General features: G+C 47.5%; 1 long non-coding RNA gene across 1 annotated transcript; it reads left to right on the forward strand.

Annotated features, from left to right (window-relative positions):
- The first annotated feature begins 3,781 nt into the window (after nucleotides 1-3,781).
- Nucleotides 3,782-23,060, forward strand: LOC105378502 (uncharacterized). Its single transcript, XR_946344.1, has 3 exons — nucleotides 3,782-3,875; nucleotides 22,604-22,795; nucleotides 22,950-23,060. It is a non-coding gene; the product is annotated as an uncharacterized LOC105378502 (long non-coding RNA).
- The last annotated feature ends 242 nt before the right edge of the window (nucleotides 23,061-23,302 follow it).

Below are 23,302 nucleotides of genomic sequence, written 5' to 3' on the forward strand. Positions count from 1 at the left end.
GCCTTTCCTCATGTAGCCTGCCTAACCCCCCCACCCTGGACTTATTATGATATTCCCAAACTGGCAGGTGACCCCTATCTCCCCCATTCCTCCACCTCTGCTCCTGGGAGCTGATTTTAGTTCAAGGCAGCCTTCCAGGCCTCTAATCTCTGCACATTGTACACACATTGTCAGGGGCCTTTTTCTTATAGACTGAAGCCTAGCGACAGGGTCTGCACAGCAAGTACGTACCCTGGTGACTGGCAGCTAAGTGCATTCTGATCTAGTCACCCTGGGGCACTGGAAGGTTTCCAGACTGACCCTGGAAGATTTCCTCAGACTGCTTGGTGGTTCAAGTTGGGGGGACTCAAAGGGAAGAGAAGCCCTTCAATCCCCCAGTTAATGACAGGCAGAAGCCCCAGACTCTTTATTGTCAAATGGCAGGGCGGAGCTGGGGGACCCTCCATGGCCATCCAGCTCTAAAGTTCCATGTTTCCAAGGTAAGTTGAGTTTGGAGCATGGCCCGAGCAGTCTGGGCTGATGTCATTCACAATGACAGAAGTGGACAGAGTCTTGGCTCACCCTCAACTGTGGGTGAGAGTGATTCTGTGGTCTCAGATGGCAGATGGGTAAGGTCTGGGGAGTAGAAAGGTGATTTTTATCTTTAACCAAATGAAAGTTCCTACCCACGTGACAGCTTTGGTTTAGGGGGTGAGAAGGCACCCTTGAGGTGATAACAAGATTGATAGGGAGGTTGGGCACCCGCCTAAATTCACTGCTGTCTCAAGGGAGACTCTTAGGAACTGGCAAGAGGACTTGATAGGAACCTCATCATGGTGGAAAGGGATGTGACTGAGTGTTAAGTTTGTGAAACGGATGGTCTTGTGGGAGAGATGTAGGAATAAGCCCCATGTGTTGAGAAAGACATAAAAGGACATTGAATACCACAGTGTGCACACGTGTGTGTGTGTTTTAAACTATTATAGTTCCTGGTTTAAAACACACACACGCGCGCACACACACACACACACACACACACACACACACATGCACACTGTGGTGTTAAATGTCCTTTTCCGTCTCAGTTCCCCAGCTGGTCTCTCAGCTTCCCCACTATTCCCGTCTTCCTTTCTACACAGACCTAACAGCCTAAGGCCCCATTTTCAACTCATTACTCTCAGATCTTCTGGGACAAGCTTCCTACCTGCTCCGACTTCAGGCCTCCCGTCCCTGGCTGCAGCCTTCCAGCCACCTTTGCTCTTTCCTGTTTCCCATCAGCACCCTACCCCGCACCACAGGTTCACGCTCACATGGATCTCACACTCACGTTTTTACCCACCTGCAATTCTCTCCACATTCTTGCCTGTCAACCTATCCACATTCTCCCCTTTTAAAAATAGCATTATTGAGACATAATTCACATACCATATAATTCATCTATTTAAAGTGTAAGATTCAGTAGTTTTTGGTATATTTACAGATATGTTCATTCTTCACCACAGTCACTTGTAGAATATTCTCATCATCTCCCTATACCCCTTAGCTATCACCTCCCAGATCCCCCAGCCCCATGCTGGCACCCCAGGTAAGCACTAGTCTACTGTGGGTCTCTACAGAGTTCCGTGTTCTGGACATTTCATATGCACAGAATCAGAAGTGCGGTGTTTTGTGTCTGACTTCTTTTGCTTAGCGTAATGGTTTCAAAGTTCATCTATGTTGTAGCTCTATCGATACTTCATTCCTTTTTATGGCAAATGTTCTAATTTCCCCTTTCAAGGGTCAGCTTAATCCTCATGTCCCCCAGAATGCTTTTGTTAACTCCTTGGGCCCTCTTGATGGCTCTCCCATGGATGTTTACAGTGTGGTATGGGGTTGTCTTTGCATCCTCTGTGAAAACCTTTCTTGCCTACTAGACTGTGTCCCAGGACAATTCTCTGGGAAGCAGGTTCTGAGAAGGAGATCTGTGTTCAAGAAGATTCTTGAGGATAACACTTGGGACCTACATCATGGGGGAGTGACCGATGCAGGAGGGGGCAGAGGGAGAAGCTGAGCTGCAATGCAGTCCCAACAAATGTCTCAGCCACCCTCCAAGTGATCTAGAGCTGGGATGGCCATCAGAGTTGAGTGAGGGCTGGGTTGTAATACACCCGTATCAATGGTCAACAGTCATTGGATACAGCTGCTTCAGGAAGATTGTGTCCTTGGGTTGGTCATCTCATTGCAGCCAAGGACAAGTCCTGGCGGCACTCCCAGCAGCCTGGAGAATGAAGAAACCATGGCATTCACGGTGGACTAGAAGACCCTTGAGAACGGGGGCCATGTCATCCCTCCTGCTTGCCTCTCCCCTTCCCTAACACCTGCATTTTGCTTGAATTCAGGCCTTGAGGTCAAACAAATGTGAATTCAAATCCTAGCTCTGCCATATATTAACTGAGGAACCATAGAAAGTTACCAGATCTTGTGGGTCACACCTGTAATCCCAGCACTTTGGGAGGCTGAAGTGGGCAGATCATTTGAGGTCAGGAGTTCGAGACCAACCTGTCCAACATGATGAAACCCCTTCTTTACTAAAAATACAAAATTAGTGGGCATGGTGGCAGGCCACCTCTAATCCCAGCAACTGGTGCGGCTGAGGCACGAGAATCGCTTGAACCCCAGAGGCAGAGGTAGCAGTGAACCGAGATCATGCCACTGCCCTCCAGCCTGGGCGATAGAGTGAGACTGTCTCAAAAAACAACAAAAAAAAGTTACCATATCTCTTTAAGCCTTAGTTTCCTCATCTGTAAAATGGAGATAATAATAGTCCTCACCTTATAGAGTTACTGTGAATATGAGGGGGTCAATGTATGTAATGCATTTAACAGTGTCTAGTACATAGTAAGCTCTCAATAAAGGTTAGCTTTTGTTCTTCTTAGTAGAGTCTGGAGGCCGTCTGATAATTGACTGATTTAAAGGGGTGGAAGCTAATATAAACTAAGGGTCAGCAAGTGAACCAGACACCAACACTGAGTTGTTAGCATTGGAAAATTATTTTTCAAATCAAAAAATATTTCATACATAGAGAAAGACATAAAGAGTGATTTACTGAACACCCATGTTCCTATCATCCACCTTGATTTTTTAAAATACAGATATATTAGAAAGCTTTTATTCATCCCTCCCCTGCTTCCGAGGTGAATTATGAAGGAGATGTTCATCATTCCCAGGAATGTCTTGATGCTGTTGCCGTTTGTGTATGAATCTCTAGGTAATACATAATCTTTTATATGTTTTAAAACTCTGTGGGCTGGGCAAGATGACTCATGCCTGTAATCCCAGCACTTTGGGAGGCTGAGGCAGGAGGATCACTTGAGCCCAGGGGTTAGAGACCAGCCTGGGCAATATAGTGAGACCCTGTCTCTACAAAAATAAAAAATTTGCTGCATGTGGTGGTACATGCCTGTAGTCCCAGCTACTTGGGAGGCTGGGGTGGGAGAACCACTTGAGCCTGGGAAGTTGAGGCTGCTGTAAGCTATGAGTGCCATGGCACTTCAGCCTGGGTGACAGAACAAGACTCTGTCTCAAAAAATTTTTTTTGGTATGTACATAACATCATAGTGTATCATTCTTCTGCTTTTTCACTCAACACAATGCTTGACATCAAATGTGAGATTTGCACGTTTTTACCTGCAGCTCAAGTTCATTTATCTCCTTCCAGTGTAAGGTTGAAACTCCTGCTCCCAAAATGTAAGAAGTGGAGGGAGAGAGACTCTTTGTGACTGAACTGTTTGCCCCTACTTTTTTCCAGCCATCCTCATTTTCTGGAGAGGCAGCGTGACCTAACGACGAAAGCCTCCACAACTGGTTTCTGTCGGTGTGAGTCCCAAATCTGCCACTGGCTGGCTGGGAAACCTTGGGTAAGCTACTTAACCACTCTGTGCCTCAGTTTCCTTGTCTGTAACATGAGAACAAGAATGCCTTCTACCTACTTCATAGCATTGTTTCTAAAACACTTAGTGCAGTTGCTGGTTTGTAGTGCAGTATTGGTAAGGTTAGCTATTACTCTTTTATTTGAGTTGTTTACAAGCAGATGGTATGGAACACAGCTCCATGAAGTATGGTCCCAATCACTAGGGCCTGATCCCTGCCTTGCAGGGAAGGGCAGCTACACAGTCTGGGATTCTCTGCATTTGAGAAAGCTGGGTAGCTGACATTAGGAAAGCTGATTGTTTGCTTGTTCTGTTTGATATTTTGCCAGTGGCTTCTGGCACAGCCGTGAAGACAGGGTTCCCAGTTTCTCATCCATCACCACCTTTGATCTACCCAGCTCCCTCCATGCCATCTTTATTATTGTTCCCATCACACAGATGAGTAAATGGGCTCAGAGATGTGAGGTGACCTGCCAATAATAGGTGGCATCCCTGAGACTGGAACCAAGTCTGCTCATTCTTAATCCTGGGGCCTTTAGCCATAGAGTGGGCCTCTCCAACTACTACTGATTGTTTTCTTGCTTGAGGGCAGGGACAGGACCCTGGGGCTCAGAAAGGAAGAGAGGCACTTTTCAGGGCCACTCGCCCTGTCACAAGTATGATCTGCTGTTGGCCTTGCGTCCCCAGCGATCAGATGGAAGAGAGCCAGTTTAGAACTAGAGGGGGTTTTATATGTGCTTTTTTTGCTTCTGTTTTTCCTTGAACACTTTAATTGAGTGGTTAAAATCTACCTTCCGGCCAGGCGTGGTGGCTCACGCCTGTAATCCCAGCACTTTGGGAGGCTGAGGTGGGCGGATCATGAGGTCAGGAGTTGAGAGCATCCTGGCCAACATGGTGAAACCCTGTCTCTACTAAAATACAAAAAATTAGCCAGCCATGGTGGTGCACACCTGTAGTCCCAGCTACCTGGGAGGCTGAGGCAGGGGAATTGCTTGAACCTGGGAGGTGGAGGTTGCAGCGAGCCGAGATCGCACCACTGCACTCCAGCCTGGGTGACAGAGCAAGGCTCTGTCTCAAAAAAAAAAAAAAAAAAAAAAAGCGTACCTTCCAAATTCCTAACAAGCTGCATGGCAAGTAGGATGAGTGTCAGGGGAATCTGTGGGTAGGTGATGACTGTGGAGGCGGATGGTGGTCAGCCCATGTGGCTTTCATTCATCCAGACATGCAAGTTTTGGCTTGCCTCACCTTGAGCTGGAGTTTTCTCAGAGGAAAATATGTCAAGGTAGACAGATTCTCTCCTTTATGAGATGTCATATGACTATTTTTGCATGCAGTTATTTCTTTTCTTTTCTTTTTTTTTTGAGACGGAGTCTTGCTCTGTCCCCCAGGCTGGAGTGTAGTGGCACGATCTCAGCTCACTGCAAGCTCTGCCTCCCAGGTTCACACCATTCTCCTGCCTCAGCCTCCTGAGTAGCTGGGACTACAGGTGCCCACCAACACGCCCGGCTAATTTTTTGTATTTTTAGTAGAAACAGGGTTTCACCGTGTTAGCCAGGATGGTCTTGATCTCCTGACCTTGTGATCCGCCCGTCTTGGCCTCCCAAAATGCTGAGATTACAGGCATGAGCCACTGTGCCCAGCTGCAGTTATTTCTTTTTAAACTAATTCATAATGGCAGAGCTCACCACCATAATCAGTTTCTGTTTCCATTATAAATCCAATTTTGGAGGGTAATGGTGTCTGCCATTTCATCTTGCTTAGGGCTTCAGCTTTATATTCTCTCTCTCTCTCTCTCTCCTCTCTCTCTCTTAAAGGAAGCAGTTGCATGCATGTTTAAAGAAACTAAAAGCTTGGGCTTTTGGAGGATGGTTTAGCAATAGGAATTTAGGCAGGAAATAACAAATAGGTATCCTTGTGGACTTTGATTGGTTAGTAGTGGATGACTGGAGTATTGTGTTGAGAAGGATCCTGAGGCCATATCCAGCATAAGTGCAAAAGAGCTGTGACTGACAAGTGATGTCTGTCATGAATCCTTGCAAGTGGGAATGGAGAGTAGCAGAGAGAACCCTGCAAGCAGTCATCCATAAACCAGAGGAAGCATATTAAATTTGCTCCTAATAGCAGCTCCTTACCTCTTTATAGCGTTGGATAGTTTCAAAAACATTTTTCATGTGCTTTATTTTCATTTAACCATTACATCAACTGGGTGATCTCTGTAGGGCTAATCTGTCTTCATATTAATTAACTTATCTATTAAATGCTTATTGAACAATTACTCTAGTAGGCTGTGGACGACAATCTTGAAGAATGTCTGCCACCAATTTCTTCCCTTCTTGTTGGTGCATGCCACCTGTCTCATTTAGAAGTGGAGTCTAATTCCCTTCCCCACCCGCCCCCCCCCTTTTTTTTTTTGAGACAGGGTTTCACTCTGCTGCCAAGGCTGAGTGCAGTGGCGGGATCCAACTCACTGCAACCTTGACCTCCTGGGCTCAAGTGATCCTCCCGCCTTAGCCTTTTGAGTAGCTGAGACTACAGGCACATGTCACCATGCCTGGCTAATTTTCATTTTTTTTTTTTTTTTTTTGTAGAGATGGGGTTTTGCCATGTTGCCTGGGCTGGTCTCGAACTCCTGGGCTCAAGCGATCCTCCTGCCTCAGCCTCCCAAAGTGCTGGGATTAAAAGAGTTAGCCACCGCATGCCTGGCCCCCTTCCTCTTAAAGTTGGGTTGTTCTTAGTGACTTTCTTGACCAAGAGGATGTAGCTGAAACAATGTTCTGGGACTTCCAGTTTAAGGTCTTAAGAAGGCTTTCCGTTTTAGCCTAGGTTTTCTTTAAACATTTGCTTTTGGGGCCCTGATCTGCCACATTCAAAATATGACTGCCCATTTGAAAAGATCATGTGGAGAGGCTGTGAAGCTAGAGAGAGGGGCCCAGCTGAGCCTGGCCTTCCAGCTGCTCACTAAGGCTCCAGTTATGTGAGAAGACATGTTGGACCTCTCAGCCAAGCCCAGCTGCCAGATGAATACCACTGAGTCACCCCCGTGGAGGCTGTGTGGAACAGAAGAATCACCAAGCCAAGTCCTGCTGAAATTCTGGATTCACAAAATCAGGAGGTGAAAAGATGGTTACTTGAAGTGACTAAGCTTTGGGATGGTTTCCTGGGCAGCATGTTATGTAGCAATAGTGTGTTATATAACCAGAACATTGACACTGGGCTTTCAGGGATGAGTAAGACCCAGTTTCACTCCATAGAGAACTCCAAGTCTCCTGGGAGAGATGGACAGATGAACAAACAAGTCACAATTCAGTGAAAACAAACATGTGCAAGAAAAAATCGTAGCCCAAAGAGCAGATGGAGCAGGAAAGGCTTCCTGAGGGAGGTGACGTCTGTCTGGCCCCAGCCCCATTGTTCTTGGCATACATGGCCCACAGAAAGTCATTTTTTTTTTTCTGGGGACGTCCCCAACATGAGAGAAGGGTCCCCAGTGACCAAGTTTATATTAGGTAACTCTGTTTTCCTGGCCATAGCTGATAGATCCAGGGGTGGATGAGCACTCAATGTGGGCCAATCAAGTTTTCTCTCCCAGTAAATTGAAATTTGGAATGGAGAGTTTCGGAGGCTGGGCGTCATTGGAACTAAATCACGGTGAGAGAAGCTCTCTAAAGCAGGGTTTCTTAACCTTGGCACTATTGACATTTAGGCTGGCTAATTCTTTGCTGGGGTTAAGGGCACTGTCCTGTGCATTGTAGAATGTTTAGTAGCATCCCTGGCCTCCACCCAGCAGATGCCTGTAGCATCCCACTCCTAGTCACATCTCCAGACATTGCCAAACGTCCCTTGGAGGACAAAGTCGCCCCCAGTTGAGAACCACTTCTCTAGAGTGATAGCTCCAAAATGCATGAGCAGTCCTATCTCTCCCCTCGCTGGTCCTATCTCTGCCCTCGCTGGGACGTGGCAGTTCAACTCTTGTACCCGTGAGGCATCCCAGACCCTTCTAATCACCTAGAGTCAGTTTCTATATCATGCAACCAAAATAACCCTAGTTCATACAGTATTGAAGGTTGGAATGGAGTTTGTTACACAGTTGGGTCCTGGAAGGGCATCTAGCGGAGTAGAAACTGTTTGTAGGGAGCAGGAAACAGCAGTATGATGCTGTTGGGTGTGGCTGGAGGGCTGGAGGGGCATAAGGGCCAGCCCATGCTTGGCAGACCACACTTAAGTCTGCAGACCAGGGGGTGGTTACTCTCGGGACCGCCATAATGAACCCAAGTCTGTACTTTCCATAGAATCAAAGGCCTCCCACCAACTCCCATTGTCTCAGGTGGAAGGAAGGTTCTTCTTCTTCTTCATTTTTAAATTTTTTGATATAGGGTCTTGCTCTGTCCCCCTGGTGGGAGTGCAGTGGTATGATCATGGATCACTGCAACCTCAAACTCCTGGGCTCAAGCAATTCTCCTGCTTCAGCCTCCAGAGTAGCTGGGACCACAAAGGTGAACTGCCATGCCTGGCTAATTTTTGTATTTGTTTTCTAGAGATGGAGGTGGGGGGGTCTTGGTATGTTGTCCAGGCTGGTCTTCAATTCCTGGACTCAAGCCATCCTCCTGCCTTGACCTCCCAAAGTGTTGGGATTATAGGTGGGAGCCACTGCATCTGGCAGGAAGGTTCTTAAATGGCTAGCCTTCTAGATTTTTGGACTCTAGAGGATGATGTTCCACCCATAATATTTCTCCTTGATGAACAATCAACTGCTCTTAGATTTTATTTTATTTTATTTTTGGAGGTGGAGTCTCACTTAGTCACCCAGGCTGGAGTGCAGTGGCGTGATCTTGGCTCACTGCAACCTCTGCCTCTCGGTTTCAAGGGATTCTCCTGCCTCAGCCTACCGAGTAGTTGGGACTACAGGTACCTGCCACCACACTCTGGTAATTTTTTTTTTTTTTTGAATTTTTAGTAGAGATGGTGTTTCACCATGCTGGCCAGGCTGGTCTTGAACTCCTGACCTTAAGTGATCCTCCTGCTTCTGCCTCCCAAAGTGCTGGGATTATGGGCGTGAGCCACCGTGCCCAACTGCTGTTAGATTTTAACCTTGTTCATGTCTCTTAGACAAACTAAAGTGAGTAACTGAAGACATTAAAACAATTTACACTGGATCTCCCATATCTCTCCAGTGCAAGGCTAAAGTGGAGTCCTTTAGGCTTGAGTCAGTCAGATAAGTGTCCCGTCGCCTCCTTGGTTATGAGTGCATGGGTTTGGATGTGTGACAGGGATACTCTGGGTCTCCAAGAACGAAGACAAATTCAGATGATTTCCAGCCACAGGGCACATTAAGAAGTACCCCTCATTCCTGCAAGCAGCCATGCCACAGCCACCTTGTCCTCTCCTCTGGAAATTCAGCTCCGCAGCTTTGGTTTCCACTGCTCTTGCTACTACCTGGTAACAGATTTTATGCAAGTGTCAAGTTCGAGTTCTCCGGGAGAAAGTCTGGTTGGTTTCAGCCCTGATCTAGGACAGAGTTTGGCTCCTGTCCAACTATAAACCACTGCCGTTGGGGGCTGTGTCCACCCTTGGTTAAACCAGATACAAAGCCTGGCGGGCGCTTTGTGGAAAGAGAGTCTCAGAAGAGGGTTTTGAGGAAGTGAGACCTCTCAGCTGCCCCAGAAAGTGAAATGTCCTTGCCAGTCACCATCCTGTGTGCCTGAGTTATGGCTCAGCGCTATCAGTCTCCCTTCTAAATTACAGGGTATGTCTCTGGACCCAGAATTCCTGGTTTCTGACCAATTGGCCAAATCCAGTAGCCTTGGGCAAGTTGCACCCAGGGGAGGGCACTTCTCAGGAGTGAGCTTCCAGGAATAAATTCCCTTGGGAAACTCTGCGGGCAGCTTAAACCTCAAGAAAATGACTCATTAGGAGCTTGGGGAGCTGTTAATTGCCCTGTCCAGCCAAGATCCAGTGCCGCTGTGCCAGCCTGCTGAAAAATAATGAAGTCACTAGAAGTTCCAGCTCAGTCCCTGTCTGCCCAACTTCCCTACTGTTTCCTCTTCTTCCTCTCATCCCAGACACTGTGTCCCCCTGCTGCTCCACTGCCCAGAGACCCTGACTGTGATGTTCAAACAGAACTGCCCCCCCAGGGACCTATCACTGCGGCAATCACATTCTCAGAAAGAACATCCAGGAAAACAGAACATGGCAAAGGCTTGTTTTGCTGAACTGTAAATATATTCATTGGAAAGCTATGTTTACCAAGGTATAAGGACTAAATCACATAGAGCTACTACTTATCCCTGCTTAGAAAAATGTGAAAGCTCAAGAAATTCATCCAGTCTTGGAAAAGCTGTGACTTAGGGTCGCCATGGCAATGCCACGTCCTCTGCCTCTGGGTCCTACGCTGTCATAGGCCAGTCGCAGGCAGGAGGACATTGGCTCGGGGCAGGGAGACCACTGGATGGGAAGCTGGGAGGCCCGTGTGCAGCCCTGGTGCCAACACTAACCAGCCCTTCTGTGCTTCTGGATCAGGAGTGTTGAACTAGTAGGTTTCAACTCTCTTCTAGAAGGAACATTCCATAGTAAATTATCTGAGTGCAGGGAACCTTAGACCCTTTTAAGGGACCTAGCATGTGAAGCCACTTGGTACTAGGGTGCGTTCTTCATAGAGTGGGTTAGGGTGGGAAGGGCCCCCCAGCTGCTGGAGGAAGTGAGAGTTGATTGGGACAGAGGCGGTCTCTCTGCTCTCGGCCACCAGGGGGCAGCACCCAACCTATGCTCAGGCAACTGGCGCTTTCTCCTGGGACTTTCAATCCTGAGCGTGACCGGAAAAGGTGAGCTCAGGGAGAGGCTATTTAGCGCGGCAGCTGAGGGGCCAATGCAGTGGCCAATGCAGCGGTGGGGAGCCGTGCCAACAGTGTTGCCTCAATCACACTTTTCCTGTGTCATGAACGTGACCGTTCTGTTAATTTCTACAGTCTTGCCTCTGCTTCTTGTCAAATTTTGTAAGCAACTCAATGTTTTCAATAGGGATTTAGTGTTTTCTCTTTAGTTGGCCAGAGATGATTTCTATTGTTTGAAATCAGGAATCTCCTCCAGAACCTTGGTGAACTAATTAACCCACAGTTTGCTGTTTATGATGGAAAGAATTTTGAGGTCTTACCTAATCCCAAAGGTGTTTATGGCTTCAAGGAAGTTGCTGGTATCAGCAATATCTCAACCCGAGGCTGCCACGTAGACATCACCTCACCTGCCAGTCCTGCTCGGTTGACAGTGGCTTTGTGGGGCACTGTGTTGAGGAGGATTCTGAAACCAAAACTCATTAACAAAGTCAGCCAGTGGGAGACAGTTGGCAGAGCCCCTACTAACTTTCAGGGGGTTGGGAAGATATATGTTGATATGGTTTCGTTCTGTGTCCCCACCCGAATCTCATATTGAATTGTAATCCCCATGTGTCCAGTAGGGGCCTGGTGAGAGGTGGTTGGATCATGGCGGCAGATTTCCCCCTTGCTGTTTTAGTGCTAGCGAGTGCGTTCTCATGAGATCTGATGGTTTAAAAGTGTGTGGCTTTTTTTGCTCTCTCTCTCTCCTCTCTCTCTCCTGCTCCACCATGGTAAGACGTGCTGGCTTCCCCTTTGCCTTCTAACATGATTGTAAGTTCCCTGAGGCCTCTGAGCCATGCTTCCTGTTAAACCTGTGGAACTGTGAGTCAATTAAACCACTTTTCTTCATAAATTACCCAGTCTCAGGTAGTTATTTTTTAATTTAATTTTTATTTTTTTGAGGTGGAGTCTAGCTCTGTCACTCAGGCTGGAGTGCAGTGGTGTGATCTTGGCTCACTGCAACCTCCACCTCCCAGGTTCAAGCGATTCTCCTGCCTCAGCCTCTCAAGTAGCTGAGATTACAGCGTGAGCCACAATTCCCAACTAATTTTGTATTTTTTGTAGAGATGGGGTTTTACCATGTTGGCCAGGCTGGTCTCGAACCCCTGACCTCAAGTGATCCGCCCACCTTGGCCTCTGAAAGTGCTGGGATTATAGAGGTGAGCCACTGGGCCTGGCCTCAGGTAGTTCTTCACAGGAGTGTGAAAATGGACTAATACATATATTATGGGGATGGTGATAGTGGGGTTATCCCAGATCCTCTCAACCCTGCTGCCTCTGTGGAAAGCAGCTGAGTGTCCTTTGCCATCATCCTTCAGTAGGGCAGCCTCTCTGACAAACCAAAATGATCAGGTCAACCTCCCTATGGACCCTGGCAGAGGCAGACTCAGCATATGCTGTTCCAATGACTGCAGCTGCAAAGCCTGAGGGACCAGAGCATCAGAGCTGATGGATCCCTTAGAGGTCATCACCCCAATGCTCCCATTTTCACAGGTGGGAAAACTGAGGCCAAGCGAGGGGAGGGCTGACTTGCCTGTGACTGTGCAGTTAAGTTAGTGGTAGTTTGGGGTTTCACACATCATTTGGCTTTGAGGCCAGTGTTCTTCCCACATCACCGCCATCTCATAGCCACTGTCTTCCTCCTGATATTTAGTCATCCCTATCTTTGGAACATCCCACTGTATTGGTTTCCTATCGCTGTTGTAACACATGACCAAAAAATGTAGTGGCTTAAAGCAGCACAGACTTATCTTAGAGTTCTGCAGCTCAGATGTCTGACATGCATCTCACGGGGCTGAAGTCAAGGTGTCTACAGTGTTGCTTTTTCTTCTGGAGGCCCTGGGGTCAAGTCCATTTCCTTGCCTTTTCTGACTTCTAGAGGCTGCCCATCTTCCTCAGCCTGTGACTCCCTTTCTCCATCAGTAAGGCCAACCTTGGCCAGTTGAGTTTTTCTCAGATCTCACCTCCTGACACCAACTGTTCTGCCTCCTAGTCATACCTCTAAGGCCCCTTGTGATTACACAGGGTCCCCTAGATAACCAGGGATCATCTCCCTATGCTAAGGTCAGCTGATCAGCACCCTTAATTCCACCTGCAATCTGAGGTCCCCTTTGCCATGTAAGGTAATATATTCACAGGTTCCGGGTGTTAGGACAGGGACATCTTTGGTGCCATCATTCTGTCCACCACACCCACCTTCTCTCTGAGGTCAGGGTTTCTCATCCTAAAAAATCATTTCCTTGATCCTGCTGTTTCCCTCCGGGTATCACCCAGTGCTCCTTTTAGATCCTCTGCCAAGCATCTCCATGGAGGCTCTATTCTTGCTGCTTCCCTTCTACCAGCCCTCACTCGCTTTTGAAACTGAGATCATATTTACATACCATAATATTTCCCCTTTAAAATGTATACTTTAAGCCGGGCATGGTGGCTCATGCCTGTAATCCTGACAGTTTGGGAAGCCGAGGTGGGCAGATCACCTGACGTCAGGAGTTCAAGACCAGCCTGGCCAACATGGTGAAACTCTGTCTCTACTAAAAATACAAAAATTAGCCGGGTGTGGTGGTGGGTGCCTGTAATCCCAGCTACTTGGGAGGGTGAGGCAGGAGAATCACTTGAACCCAGGAGGTGGAGGTTGTAGTGAGCCCAGATTTTGCCATTGCACTCCAGCCTGGGTGACAGAACAAGACCCTGTTTCCAAAAGCAACAACAACAACAACAACAACAACAGCAACAACAACAACAGCAAAGTACACTTTAGTGGTTTTTAGTGTGCTTGCTGTGTTGTGCAGCCACCACCACTATCTAATTCATCACCCTGAAAAGAAATCTTGTACCCGTTAAGCAGTCACTGCTGATTCCCCCTTCCTTAGCCTCTGGCAATCTCTTTCCTGCCTCTGTGGATTTCCCTATTTGATCCTGGATACTTCATATAAATGTCATCATAGAATATGTGGCCCCTGTATCTAGCCTCTTTCACTTAGCATAGTGTTTTCAAGGTTCACTCCTTCTTAGGAACCCTCCCTGCAACCTGGCTTCTGTGAGCTGCCCCATGACTTCTTTGCTAAGCTCGCCAAAACATCCATTATGAAGTTCCCAAACTCCACAGCCTTTATCAATGCACTGGCGGGAGCTTCCTCTGAGCATGCTTCTTCCTTGGCTTCCACCATGCTGTCCCTTCTTGATTCTCCTTCCATTTCTATGATCTTTTCATTCTGCCTCTGGCCCAAGTCTTTCTCCTCTTGTCTCCTGAAAATGACCTGTCTCCCAAGGATCAGCCCAAGGCTCTCTGCTGTTTCCTGTATCCCAGAGGTTCTAGGAGTCCATGACTGGGCTCTTTTATGAGATTCCCCCACCTTGAACTTGTAGACAACCTTTCTTGCATTCATCCAGAGCTTTCCATCAGCTTCTGAAATGGGTATATGGATAGTAAAGTGTTAAAAGTCAGCTATGTAATCTTTCTGCCTTTGAGAGCCAAGTTAGCTAAGATTCTTTGGAGTGCAAGTGATAGAAACCCAATTCAATCTGACTTGAAAAGAGAGAATTTAATGACTCTCATGTCTGCAGTAGCTCAAAGAACTGAAGGAAGTAATGTGGAAAGCACAGAAGCTTTGGGAGTTTCTGAGACTGGAATCAGGAACACGTTGCAGTCAGGATTCTCCCCCTCTCTATTTCTCAGCTCTGCTTCCTTTGATTGGCTTTATTCTCTCCAGCAAATTAGCTTTCTTCATATTCCACAGAAGATGGCCCCTGGTATGTCTCAATTCCTTCCCACTCGGGGATGCAAAAGACAAAGCCCCTTCTCTTTTAATTCCAAATTTAAAAATCCCCAGGAAGGACTCTGAGTGTCCCATGCTGAGTCGTATCTTCCCCACTGCAGCAATCACATGGCCAAGGGAGCTGCCTGCTTGGATGACCAGGGGCCCAGGCCTCTTATCTCCCCTTGCATTTTATTGGGACTGTCAGTCCTGCAAATACTCATGACGGCAATGGAGGAGGAGCAGTTGTTTGAAGGTGTGTGTTATGTTGGACAGTCAAAAATGGCATTTGTTTCCTACCAGACCTCACCCATGCCCATCGTGTCTTTAACGACCACCTGTGGATGACTCCTACGGTCTCCAGCTGCCAGGTGCCTACTGATGACTACCTGGTTGGCCCACTGGTCTCCCAAACAGAGTATCTTTGGTGTCCCCAGTGGGTATCAATGGCACCACTGCCCACCAAGTCTCCCAAGCTTCTCCCAGTTCCTTGCCTTCACAAATGGTGATCCCCCACCCCTCTGTAGGGAGTTGCCAAGTCCTGTTGATCTTAGCACTTCGGCATCTTTCCCAGCCATTGTTCTCATCTGCAATTTCATTAGTGCCCCTGGCCTAAGCCACTCTCCCAGTCTCTTAGTGGATCTCTCTGCCTCCAAGGCAGATTCTGTCACCGGCTATGGAATCCCATGTAAAAAAGAAATCTTCATCACAGTTACATGAGTGGGATAGTGTTAGCACCACTTTACAAGTTAGGAAAGTGAGCCTCAGTGAATTAAGGACTTGCTGAAGAATGAGAGGTGGTGGAAGGATTTGAACTTGGGTCTCTAATTCCAAGTGTAACATCTATTCTGGTTCCCCTCCATGCCTTAAAATAGTTGCTGAATGAATTCATGAAACCTGATTTTATGGCGATTTTTTCTTTTGCATCACACAGCTGTTCTGAAGCCTTTGGAGTTTACAAATAAGAGTCTTCAAGCAGTCTCGGGCCTTGCCCAGTGCTCACAAAGTGAAGGGCTGCTAAGCTCACCCTGGTATTTGGGCTCCTCTGAGAGATTTTGCAGCCCTTGTCTCCCTGTGGGCACCTGAGGGTAGGGGGAAAAAACCTGTTTCCAAAAGGAGTTCAGCAGAAGAATCTGAGCCAAACACTTAACACTGAGCCTGGCCCCTGATAATCAGTGAACACTCTGAGAGGCCCTGTGAGTTCATCATAGCTGGAAAGCAGAGCCCTGGGGTTGGGATGGGGTGGGGCTGAGGGTAGGGGGGCCTGCATTGTCCTGGCTGCTCCATGGAGGGGGTGCAGTGTGGCCTCCTCTGGGCTGCTTCTCCAGCTGAGGACAGCTCTGTCACAGGCTTCCTTCTCTGTCTACTCATTTACATGTTCATTCTCAGGCTTTCTATGCTCCCCTCAAAAAAGCTCCAAGTGAGGACCCTGCCTGTTTTCTTCTGCACCAGTGCTAGATACATGAGTAGTTGCTCACGAAATAATTGTGGAGTGGGTGGGTAGATGGATGGATGGATGGATGGATAGAATGGAGGGATGAAGAAAAGAGTTTCTAGTGAAAGTCCTGGAATGAGATATTCTGAATTATTATAACATCTAGTTATTCCACTCATGTGGCGATGTATTTTCTACCAAGTTGACCAATGTGTCCACACAGGGCAAATCCACAAGGACGGGCTCTGTAAACACTTATTGAAGACTCCATGATAAAGGCCCTCCCCGTCCCCCTCCCACAGTTAAACTTCCTGCTACAGAACACTGGGCTGCTCTAATTGACCTTGAATGAGATGGTGTTTACAGCTGCGACTTAGCATCCATTGATCTTGAATTGATTAAGCGAGCATTTTGCAAAGGAGAACTACAAGAACAGGGACAAAGAGCCCCATGCATTGAGGATTTCATGCCACCCATTCACCCCCTTTGCTTCACACATCTAATGTGTGTGTGCTTTAAAAAAAATAAACAAACAGTGAATGAATTACTGTAAAGACAGAAGAGGAACCGGGTCCAACTTTCACTCAGCAGGAGGGCAAATTGGCTGCCCAGGGCCCTGAAAGGGCATTCCCAGCCCTCATTAGTTTTAACCAGAGGGGCCCTGTCCAATTCCCCCAAGAGCAGGCAGCCCATCAGAGCTCGGTGGGTTGGGACTTCGTCAGCGATTGTAAACTCTTTGGATCAGCTTTTTTTTGTGTGTGGCAGTTCCAGCACTTGGCTGGGCCCCCGGAAAGAGCAGAAAACTTGGGTTCTCCTCTTGGCTCTGCCTGGCTGAGCTTAACTGGCAAGACGTTTTGGGGGCCTCAGATCACTCATCTGTAAAATGAGGGGGTTGGACAAGAAGAGTGACTTCCAAACCTTTAATTTTTTTTGTCCTGAAATCTATTCTTTCTGCAAAGCCTAACTGGGCCACGTCTCCCCCTACAGTAAGTTAAAACAAACTTGGAAAAAAGATGAGGTGGGGAGAGGCAGTGTGGTCCCTTACTCCTCCCACCCCTGATCTCCAGTCTGAGAGGGGGCTTCATGGGACCCCTCAGCTCCTGCAGAATGCAGTTTGCAAACCACTTCAGGATCTTATCCAGTTCTGATTGGAGCTGCTCCCCATCAGGAAACTATGCTTGCAGCAGTTAGGAATTGTACATTGCTGCTGCTAATAGGAACCTGACAAGTGGGGGCTTACAGAGATTACGGGGTTATTTATTCATTTATTTGGTTACAAGAAGTCCAAAGTCAGGCGGCCCAGGGCTGGTACGGCAGCTCCACAGCGCCATCTGGGAGGAGAGACTCAGGCTCCTTTTCTCTTTCTGTCTCATCATCCTGGGCACAGGACTATCATTCTCCAATTGGGCTCATGGTCCAAATATGGCTGCTGAAGCTCCAGACATCACATTCACATTCTAAACAGGAAAAAGGAGGAAGGGGAGAAAGACAGACAGGAACACGACAGTTCAGTCTGCTCCCTTTAAAAAGCTTTCTGGGTGCACTACTCACCATTCCAGCTGTCATCTCCCTGGCAAGAGCTGTGTCACATGACTTTTTTTGGCTGCAAGGGAAGGCAGGAAAAGCTATTATTTTAAAACTCGGGTTATATTGGCATCCAACATAAAACAAGGGTTCTGCCAATAATAATGATGAAAAGGATGGAGACTGGGTAGACCCAGGAAAAAACGCAACAACAAGCTAGAATCTGTCAAGCACTTACCATGTCCCGGGCAACATGCTATGGTGTGAATGAACTGATTTAATTCTCGTAACTGCCTAGTGAGGTAAACTCTCGTTCCCATTTTACAGCTGAGGATGTTGAGACACAGAAAAGTCACGTAACTTGGCCAAGATTCCACAACAGATAAGTGACCAAGACAGGATTTTAACTCAGACATTTAGATGCTACAGCCCAGACCCTTCACCCCAGATTATTCCTCCCCTGTGAAGACCATAAAGTAAATTAACGCCCCGGACCTTTCAATGCTGTTTCAGCATCTTTATTTAATTTAATTTCATTATTATTTTATTTTATTTTGAGATGGAGTTTTGCTCTTGTCCCCCAGGCTGGAGTGAGATGGCACCATCTCAGCTCACTGCAACTTCCGCCTCCCGGGTTCAAGCGATTCTCCTGCCTCAGCCTCCTGAGTAGCTGGGATTACAGCTATGCACCACCACACCTGGCTAATTTTTGTATTTTTAGTAGAGCTGCGGTTTCACCATGTTGGCCAGGCTGGTCTTGAACACCTGACCTCAAGTGATCTGCCTGCCTTGGCCTCCCAAAGTGCTAGGATTACAGGCATGAGCCACCACGTCTGGCCATCAGCATCTTTAAAAGAAAGGGTATACAAAGCACGGAGTGCCAGAGCCTGCACCCCAGTTTCCTTATTGTCTTTCTCCTGGCACTAAGGCAGCAGTGACAGGCCAAATTGTCCATGATGCATTTATCAGGAGGTAAGTGTTTCAAATACTGTTTGGAGGGATTTCAGGGGAAACATTTTCAGGGACTTGACTTGCAGGAATGATTTATGAAGAAATATGAAAAGAGCTAAATATATATGGGCTGGCAAGTATGAAAAGAGCAAGAAAGGAAGGGAGGAAGGCAGCATAAATTAAAACACACAGACAGCCTGATTTTTCCAGAAATCCAGGAGAGGAGGGCCGCAATGGGAGGCAAAGGGAGGCATGACTCAGATCCAGTTGAAAAAGGAAACACAGCAAGCCCTTGGCTCCATCCATCGAATGTGTCTCAGTGCTCACTCCATCATCAGCTCAGGGATGGGAGGTGGGGATGGCCTCTGCCTTCATGGCACTTAGGAGCCAGGAGGGCAAGCTCAGTGGAAAGACACACTGTGTAGGTAGAGCTTGGTCAAACACTTGGCCTCCTAAGGGGAAGGAAGCAATGTCTACACCAGGCTTTATATTTATTTATTTATTTATTGATTGATTGATTGATTGATTGATTGATTTTTGAGATGGAGTTTCACTCTTGTTGCCCAAGCTGGAGTGCAGTGGCACAATCTCAGCTCACTGCAGCCTCTGCCTCCTGGGTTCAAGTGATTCTCCTGCCTCAGCCTCCCGAGTAGCTGGGATTACAGGCCTGCACCACCACACCCGACTAATTTTGTATTTTTAGTAGAGACGGGGTTTCACTATGTTGGTCAGGCTGGTCTTGAACTCCTGACCTCAGGTGATATACCCACCTTGGCCTCCCAAAGGGTTGGGATTACGGGCATGAGCCACTATGCCTGGCCCGAGCTTTATATTTATAGACCATGTTGGCAACATTTTCCTCTTTTAATTATCACTATATTATCCCCATTTGGCAGATGAGAAAATGAAGGCAGAGTCAGCTCAAGTGACTTCAGGTTCAAGTGACATCACACAGCCCCAGTCAGTGACAGATCCAGGAATGGGGACAGCAGTGTTTCCACTGGTTGTATTTTCAAAAGCAGCATCTTCATTCGGCACAGAAGCTGACACAATAGGCGCATAATAAATGCCATCTCTCTTTATTTCATGTAGCTTATAACTAAATCCATGGATATAACCCCCTGTGGATCGTGATTTTTCTAAAGGGAAATTCACCTTCAGTTTCAGCTCGTTCATCAAGAGAAACACTTACCAGTATTACCAGAAACTGAAAACATAGTCCTCTAAGAACAAGGATTTGGAAACTTAGTCCTCTAAGAACAAGGAGTGATGCAAACTAAATTCTCATGAACCAACATGGAATGAGACAGCTACTAACCTGGGATTTTATTTTCTAATCAGACTCTTGTTTGGCAGGAGGTGGCCTTTCTGGGGTGTTGGTTACAGTCTATATCATGATTCATTTATGAGATTTCTTTGAGCTCTATTATCTGTATCCTTTTTTTTTGGCATATATTAAAAATTTTTTTAAAAAAGCAACATCTGGCTGGGCGCGATGGCTCGTGCCCATAATCCCAGCACTTTGGGAGGCCGAAGCGGGTGGATCACCTGAGGTCAGGAGTTTGAGACCAGCTTGGCCAACATGGTGAAACCCTGTTTCTACTAAAAATACAAAATTAGCCGGGCGTGGTGGTGCATGCCTGTAATCCCAGCTACTCAGGAGGCTGAGGCTGGAGAATAGCTTGAAACGAGGAGGTGGAGGTTGCAGTGAGCCAAGATCGCGCCATTGCACTGCAGCCTGGGTGACAAGAGTGAAACTCCGTCTCAAAAATAAATAAATAAATAAAATTAAAAAAATTAAAAAGCAACATTCCTCCATTCCTCAGCAATTTACTGTCCTAAGCCGGCATATTGGTTAAGACTACGATGTGGCAGAGACCACTAGGGGTCTCCCAATTTCACTCTCCTTTTCACATAGCCCGTTGGAATAAAAATAACATCTTCTAGCTTCTCCCACAACTGGGTGTGGCCTTGTGACAAGTTCTGGCCAATAGGATGTAAGGGAAGCATAGTGTACAACTTTCAATAAGTCCCCTTAAGGCAGGTGACATGCCCTTCTTTCCTTCATTTCTCCTTTTTTGCTGGCTTGAAGTAGATGAGATGGCTGGAGTGTGGCAGCTCTCTTGGTCCAGGAGGTGTAAATGGTGCTGCAGGTGGCAGCTCAGGGACGGCTGGTCCTGGGACTGTGGAGCTCCCACAGAAGCCCTGAACTGCTTCCCTCCAGCTCTCTCTTACAAGGGTCAGTAAACTTCTAGCTCACTTGAGTAACTATTTTGGGTTTTCTGTTATTTGTAGTCAAACTTAATCCATATGATAGGCACAAGAGTCAGCTGATTTTGAGAAGGGGGAAGAGAGAATGGATCAGCTTCAACTCCATTGGTAAATGCTTTGTTTCTTAAGCTGAATGGTGGGCATGCAGGTATGAATTATGTTATATTTTACACCTCTTTGGCATATCTAAGAATCACTTATTAGATCTTTTAAAAAGGCAATGGTAGAAGCAGTGTTAGAGCAAGACCATGAGTAGCACAGAAAAGAATCAAATAGAGGCAACTTTGGCTTCACCCAGGCTCTGCTCCCAGACTGGCTTTGGAGTTAGGGTCTGAATATAGCCTCTGAATAAGCCTCATGGACAGAAGAAACAAGACTTGAAAGGGCAAGGGTGGGTGTATTCATCCGTTTTCATGCTGTTGATAAAGACATACCCACGACTGGCCCAATTTACAAAAGAAAGAGGTTTAATTGGACTTACAGTTCCACGTGGCTGGGGAAGCCTTACAATCATGGCAGAAGGCAACAAGGAGCAAGTCATGTCTTACATGGATGGCAGCAGGCAGAGAGAGAGCTTGTGCAGGGAAACTCCCCCTTATAATAACCATCAGATCTCATGAGACTTATTCACTATCACGAGAACAGCACAGGAAAGACCTGCCCCCATGATTCAATTACCTCCCACCAGGTCCTTTCCACAACACGTGGGAATTCAGGATGAGATTTGGGTGGGGACACAGCAAAACCATATCAGTGGGTTCAGCCTGTGGGTACCAAAGCCAGGGTTTGGAAGCAAGAAGGGACAGGGAAAGAACCCAAGGTCTGGGCACCACTCTTTCCTCCACCTGCCTCAACCCAGGATGTTTTTGCTGTAGGCAAGTCCTGGAAGTCTCTTTTGACCACACCCTCCCACCCCCTCCTGTTCTCCACCAATCCCCACCTTCATTTTAAGGGATTTCATTGCAACCAGGTCAGCCAGATGTGATTAAAGTAAAACGTGGACATACTTGCCTCCTGGGCTCTAATCCTACCTCTCAGAGCCAGCCACAGTGAGCAGTAGAGCAAGCATGAGACCAAAGTAAAGGCTGGAACCCTAGAGGGACCAGGCAGACATCTCCAGCCACCGGTATCCTCTGCTGGGATCTGCCTCAGATGCCAGAGGCTGCACTGGCTGGGGAAAGGGCTTCAGCTGTAGTACTAGGGGAAGTACTAGGAACTCCTTGAACCTGTGACTCTGCTCACCTCTGGGATCAGGACATTTCGGGGAGGCAGGCATACCTCTTGCCTCACTGATCAAGATTCCTTCCTGGGGCCAGGGCTAGGACTGGGGCCCAGGTTGCTATGGAACACACAGTCCTTGTTTCCTGAACAGAATGGGAGTTCTATTCAGCAAGAAAGAGTGTAGAGGCATGGACTGGGGAAGGGGATGGCTGTGGGGTAGGCAGCCAACAACATCTGCCACTCCTCACCTCTCCCTGCTCAGGGAGGCAGGGGTTCTGATGGAGTCAGTACAGTTAGGAAATTTCTTCCTTCCTGGCTTATGATGACGGCTTCAATGATGCAATAACTAGCCAAGGTCACACAGGAAAGGAGAAAGTGAGAGAGGGAGGAAATGGCTCCTTAGCCTCAACACTTTTGTGGCTAATGTGCCACATTTCTGTTTTCTCAAAATGTGGTCTCTGACCATCTGGGCACCTTAAAAATGCCAATTCTTGAGCTCCACACTGACTTACAGAGCTAGCATATCTGAGGTGAGACCTGAGATTGGCATTTAACAAACACAAGTGATTCTTAATACGCCCTCGAGCCTAAGAACAATGGAATTAGATGCAACAAAAATGAAGAAATGTGCTCCAAGTTTTCCATTTCTCCGGGAGGGTGAATTTAGTTTCCTTATCATTTTCTTTTGGATCCTAGCGATTTGGGAAGATGGAAAATGCCAGCTTCAAAGCTGGCTCATGGGGCTAAAAAGAAGCGACTCTGAAAATGAGTGTTCTGTTGCCTGTGGAGCTGCCTGGAGGTGTCCTCAGCAAGGCCCTGAATCACCATCTGGGAAAGCTGCATGTGCTGGGCCAAGAGAGGTGGCCTGGGATGCCCAGCTTGAGGAAGGTGCAGGGCTGGTGTTTGGGGTCACTGTGTGGCTCTGTGCATGAGTGTGACTGTGTGTGCAGATGTTTGTGCCGGGGGGAGGGTGCGGGGGTGGTCCTTTAAGGTTCTCTTGCAAAACTGTAAGAAATATTAATTGGTCTCTACTCCTTGATAGGTGGATTTTTACCCTGGAACAAGTGACATGCAAATAGGCAGCTGAACACAGTGACTTTCCAGGCCAGGCCTGCTCCAGCTGCTGTGCTCCAGCCTCGGGGCCTCAGCCTCCCCTCTGGTTCGTGCTGCATGAGTGATGAGTCTGATCATGTCCTGTCCCTGAGTCCTGGCCTCCCCACGGGCCAGAGTACCCACAAGTCCTCTGGAATCTGCTCCGCTGAGTGCTCTGGCTAGTTGCTCATCTGCCTGCCCCTCTGCTCTGCCACACAGAATACCCTGTGGTTTCCCAAATGTGCATTGTGCCTCTGTGCAATTGTTGGCAGCGCTTCCTCACCCTGAACTCATCCTCCAGTT

The sequence above is a fragment of the Homo sapiens genome, chromosome 10 (assembly GCF_000001405.40).
Source record: "Homo sapiens chromosome 10, GRCh38.p14 Primary Assembly".
Lineage (NCBI taxonomy): Eukaryota > Metazoa > Chordata > Mammalia > Primates > Hominidae > Homo > Homo sapiens.